Source organism: Homo sapiens, chromosome 1 (assembly GCF_000001405.40).
Source record: "Homo sapiens chromosome 1, GRCh38.p14 Primary Assembly".
NCBI lineage: Eukaryota > Metazoa > Chordata > Mammalia > Primates > Hominidae > Homo > Homo sapiens.
In genome coordinates this window covers 51,078,089-51,084,088 of record NC_000001.11, presented here as the reverse complement: position 1 = coordinate 51,084,088, position 6,000 = coordinate 51,078,089, and positions in this window count along the sequence as shown.

Sequence of the window (6,000 nt, the reverse complement as noted above, 5' to 3'; positions counted from 1 at the left end):
GGACACATATAACCTACCAAAATTTTACCAAGAAGGAATGAAAAAACTGAACAGACCAATAACAAGTAATGAGATTGAATCAGTAATAAAAAGTCTCCCAACAAAGAAAAGTCCAGGATCAAATGAGTTTACCACTGAATTCCACCAGACTTTTGGAGAAAAACTAACAAATTCTTCTCAAACTATTCAAAAAATTTGAAGAGAAGGGGACTATTCTAAATTCATTCTACGAGACCAGCACTACCCTGATACAAAACCAGACAAGGACACAACAGCAATAACAAAATTACAGGGCAATATCATTCATGAACATAGACACAAATGTTCTCAATAAGACGCTAGCAAACTGAATCCAACAACATATCAAAAAGATATGATCATGACACCATGATCAAGTGGGTCTTATCCTGGGGATGGCTCAGTATATCCAAATCAATAAACATGATATACCACAACAACAGAATGAAGGACAAAAACCATATGACCATCTCAATAAAGGCAGAAGAAGCATTTGATAACATTCAACATCCCTTCATGATACAAACTCTTCAACAAATTAGGCATAGAAGGAACATATCTCAATACAATAAAGTCCATATATTACAAAACCCACAGCTAACATCATATTGAATGGGGAAAAAGCTGAAAGCCTTTCCTATAAGAAATGAAATAAGACAAGGATGCTCACTTTCATCACTCTTATTCGGCGTAGTACTGGAAGTCCTAGCCACAACAATCAGGCAAGAGAAAGAAATAAAGAGCATCCAAATTGGAAAGAGAAACTCAAACTGTCCCTCTTTGCAGATGACATGATCTTATATATAGAAAATCCTAAAAACTGAACCAAAAACTCTTAGAAGTGACAAACAAATTCAGTAAAGTTGCAGGATACAAAATCAACATACAAAAATCAGTAATGTTTCTATAGACCAATAACAAGCTAGTTGAAAAAGAAATACAGAAAGCAATCCCATTTCTAATAGCTACAAAAAATAAAATACCTAGGAATAAATTTAACCAAGGAGGTAAAAGATCTCTACAATGAGTACTATAAAACACTGATGAAAGAAATTGAAGAAGGCAAACAAATGGACACATCCCATGCCCATGGATCTAAAGAATTAATATTGTTGGCTGGGCACGGTGGCTCACACCTGTAATCCCAGCACTTTGGGAGGCAGAGGCAGGTGGATCAACTGAGGTCAGGAGTTCGAGATCAGCCTGACCAACATGGTGAAATCCCATCTCTACTAAAAATACAAAATTAGCCAGGCATGGTGGCGCATGCCTGTAATCCCAGCTACTTGGAGGCTGAGGCAGGAGAATCGCTTGAACATGGGAGGTGGAGGTTGCAGGGAGCTGAGATTGTGCCACTGCACTCTAGCCTGGGCAACAAGAGTGAAACTCCGTAAAAAAAAAAAAAAGAATTAATATTATTAAAATGACCATAATATCCAAAGCAATCTTTAGATTTAATGCAATCCCTATCAAAATACCAACGACGTTCTTCACAAATCCACAGTTGATTGGATTCATGGATGTGGAACCTGTGCATATAGAAAACTGACATATATCCTAAGGAAATGAAATCAGTATATCAAAGAGATGTTTACACTTCCATGTTCATTCCAGCATTATTCACAATTGTCACAATATGGGAACAACCTAACTGTCTATAAACAGATGAATGGATAAAGAAAATGTGGTATAATACACAATGAAATACTATTCAGCCTTTAAAAAGAAGGAAATCCTGTTATTTGTGACAACATAAATGAACCTGGTAGATACTATGTTAAGTGAAATAAGCCAGGCATAGAAAGACAAATACCACATGATCTTACTTATATAGAATCTTAAAAAGTTGAGCCGGTGCGGTGGCTCATGCTTGTAATCCCAGCACTTTGGGAGACTGAGGCAGGCAGATCACTTGAGGTCAGGAGTTCAAGACCAGCCTGGCCAACATGGTGAAACCTGGTCTCTACTAAAAATACAAAATTAGCTGGGCATGGTGGTGCCTGCCTGTAATCCCAGCTACTTGGAGGCTGAGGTAGGAGAATAACTTGAACGCTGGAGGCAGAGGTTGCAGTGAGCCAACATTGCACCACTGCACTCCAGCCTGGAAGACAGGGTGAGACTCTGTCTCAAAAAAAAGAAAAAAGTTGAAGTAATTGAAGTAGAGAGTAGAATGGTGGTGGAGGGCGAAGTGGTGGTGGAGAAATTATTTTTTCTCTTTTTCTCTTCTGTAGTGTAGAATGGTAGAATGGGGGCAGTGGTGTAAAAAAAAAGAAAAGAAAAAAAGAGGAAAAATAATTTAGATTTACTTCAGAGTATATTACCCTTAAATTGCCCACCAACTTAGGTCACTTTTTTAAGCTTTAGGTAATGAAGAGCTGAGGTAGACATCAGTTTATAACTGCTTAAAGAGGAGAAAATTACAGATATGCAAGATAGGAAGCATTTTTACACATGGAGGGGAAAAAAGCAAACTTGTTAAATTTATATCATTAAGAGATCTGTGAAGTGACTGAGGTATGTTATGCTAGCAATAAAAAAATAAAAACTCCTGCTCAAATAGTTTCAATAGTTCCCTAAAGTTCAAATTTCTATCATAGGATTCTAGATCTTTTTATGAATAAAGAAAGCATACAAACAGAGTGCAAAGGCATTACTAATTCTTTATTGCTAGCCGGCCACATGGTTCAAGGAATGAATGTAGGATCTGGAGATAGGATTTGAATTCAAGTCCTTGCTCCAATACTTAGCAGCATTGCTACTCTAGTTACTAAATTAGATTTTGCCTCAACTTGTCTTTCGAACTCTATCTCCCAATGCATTTGCTTGCCATACATATACATATTTTTTTTCTTTTCACACCAGAATACTCATCACTTCCTAAATATGCACCAGGTTTTCCTTCTTTAGTCATCGTTTACCTAGTTCCATACTTCTGGAATGCTTTTCACTCAACTTTTTTACTTGTTGGAAGCTTACCTACTTTTTAAAAGTTTAGTATAAATGCCACCTTGTCTCTGAAGCCATCTCAGATTTCACCAGATGGAATTAATTCTCCTTCCCCCCCCCCCTTTTTTTTTTTTTTTTTGAGATGGAGTCTCGCTCTGTCGCCCAGCCTGGAGTGCAGTGGTGCCATCTCGGCTCACTGCAGCCTCCGCCTCCTGGCGGAGATTCAAGCAATTCTCTGCCTCAACCTCCTGAGTAGCTGGGATTACAGGCGCCCACCACCACACCCAGCTAATTTTTTGTATTTTGAGTAAGACAGGATCTCACTATCTTGACCAGGTTGGTCTTGACCCCTGACCTTGTGATCCACCCACCTCAGGCCCCCAAAGTGCTGGGATTACAGGCGTGAGCCACCACGCCTGGCCTCTCCTTCACCTTTCTTACCTCTGTTTGCAGTTTATCTATAGCACCATCAGCCTATTTCACGAATATATCTGCCTTACAAAATCACATGAAGTCAGAAACGGAACCTGAAAGAGACTGACAGCCCAAGAGGCAGTTTGGTCACTTTAGTTCTCCCTTAATTTCAATACGTCTCTACTCAAGCCATCCCAAACACAGTTTAAAGATTGTGTGCTTGCTATTGTCAATTTCAAGACAAATCTCCTAACTCTCACTTCCAATGAGAATGCACATTCCTTAAGCTCCTTTTTAAGGAAATGCAGGACCTCTTACAGCTAAGAGGTTGTCTTTTCCACTAGATAGTAAACTCTTTTCGGAGCTATGTTTTCATATTTCTCAGAGTGCCCTGACTACATTCCCTATTTGCTGCATTGAAGGAAAAACAAAAATCCCTCAAGAATCAGGAGAAACATAGCAAGACCCCATCTCTACAAAAATAAAAGTCAGGTGTGGTGGCGTACACCTGCAGTCCTAGCTACTTGGGAGACTGAAGTGGGAAGATTGCTTGAGCCCAGGAGTTTGAGGATACAGTGAGCTATGCACTCTAGCCTGGGTGACAGAGTGAGAACTTGTCTCAAAAGAAAGAAAGAGAGAAAGAGAGAGACAGAGAGAGAGAGAAAAGGAAGGAAGGAAGGAAGGGAGAGAGAGAAAAGGAAAGGAAAGGGGAAGGGAGGGGAGGCAAAGGGAAGGGATGGGACCGGACGAGACAAGACAAGACAAGTCAGGAGGAGGCAACTGAGCATGCATGTGCTAAGGCTAATTTAACAAAGGGTCAGTAGAAACAGATGCTTTTTTAGCATTAAAAGATCTAAAACTTAGCCTAGTAAGAATATGAATGTAGTGCACATGTCAGATGAGAGCTATTGATACAAGATGAATTTTCACAGTGAGAGATGTCTAGATGTCTGATTTTTTTTTTATATCCAGAGTAACCAAAAACAAACAAAAGAGAAAATGGGAAGAAAAAGCTTGGAGTTACTCCTCTCCATCCAGCAGAGAAAATAGGCAAAAGAAATGATAATGATGAAGTGCCACCGCATGACTAAGGCATGATTTTCTAGGCATACCTGTTAGAGGAAAGGCTACAACCTGAAATAGAGGGGAAGAGGGCAGATTGCGGGTGTTTTGGAGTATGGAAGAAGTGACAAAAGAGTTCAAATGTGCCAGGCACAGGGAAAAGAGAGAAGAAGGTATTCTAAGGAAGAGAAAGTTCTCTGTAGGATATTTTTCAACAGTAGAGGAAATGCCCAAGAAAAGCGATGTGGTCCTAGACACATGATTTGTGCACAACGAGCTGGATTGGGGATACAATGGCCAACTTTTCTTTTCCTTTCTGTTTTTTTGTTTCTTTGCTTTTGTTGTTGTTGTTGTTGTTGTTGTCGTCGTTGTTTGAGACACGGTCTCACTCTATTGCTGAGGCTGAAGTACAGTAGCACAATCATAGCTCACTGTGCAGCCTTGAAGCTGAGACTACAGGCACACACCGCCACACCTGCATGCCCAACTTTTCATCTCTCCTGGAAGTTCTGCATGATTTAAATTTTACCATCGTAAAACTGGAGTACAGAATTAATTGAACTTTATTTGAGTTTCCTTGTTTGTTCAATCAGAAGAGAGGGGAACATGTTTACTCCCTTTTCTGATTAGTGTAAGGCATCTGAGATACATTTGGAGTAGCTGACAGGGAAAAAAATAGAAAATCTCTCTTGGAACTTATCTGACTGTTAAACATATTTTATTTCTTTGAGTCTTCTTTTTTCTTCCCAAAAGGCATTGAAGCCTTAGATAAAGAGCCTAGTACTATGATTACATAGTCATCATTCAAAACTAAAGATAGAACATATTTCATTTTTCTTAAACTGATTATCTAGAGCAGACTCTAAATATAAACGAGAGTACAGATACTGAGGAATTACCACTTACTTATCATACAGAGACAGGACAGTCTGTATAAACATGAGATCTGGAGTAATAAGAGACTTGATTTCAATTTCTGCTATGGTCTGGGGGATTTTGGATGAGGCATTCACTTCTCTGAATTTTGATTAAAGTGAAAAAGATTTCTGGCCGGGCGCGGTGGCTCACGCCTGTAATCCCAGCACTTTGGGAGGCCGAGCCAGGTGGATCATGAGGTCAGGAGATCCAGGCCATCCTGACTAACACAGTGAAACCCCGTCTCTACTAAAAAACACACACAAAAAAATAGCCAAGCATGATGGCGGGCGCCTGTAGTCGCAGCTACTCGCGAGGCTGAGGCAGGAGAATGGCGTGAACCCGGGAGGCGGAGCTTGCAGTGACCGAGTTTGTGCCACTGCCCTCCAGCCTGGGCGACAGAGCGAGACTCGGTCTCACAAAAAAAGAAAAGAAAAGAAAAGAAAGATTTCTGTGAGAAAGTTAAATGAGACAATTTATGCAAAACTAGCAAAAACATCGTATTATATAAATATATAACATTTCAGGCCAGGCATGGTTGCTCACGCCTGTAATCTCAGTGCTCTGGGAGGCTGAGGTGAGAGAATCACTTGAGCCCAGGAGTTTGAGACCAGCCTGGGCAACATAGCGAGACCCTTTCTCTAC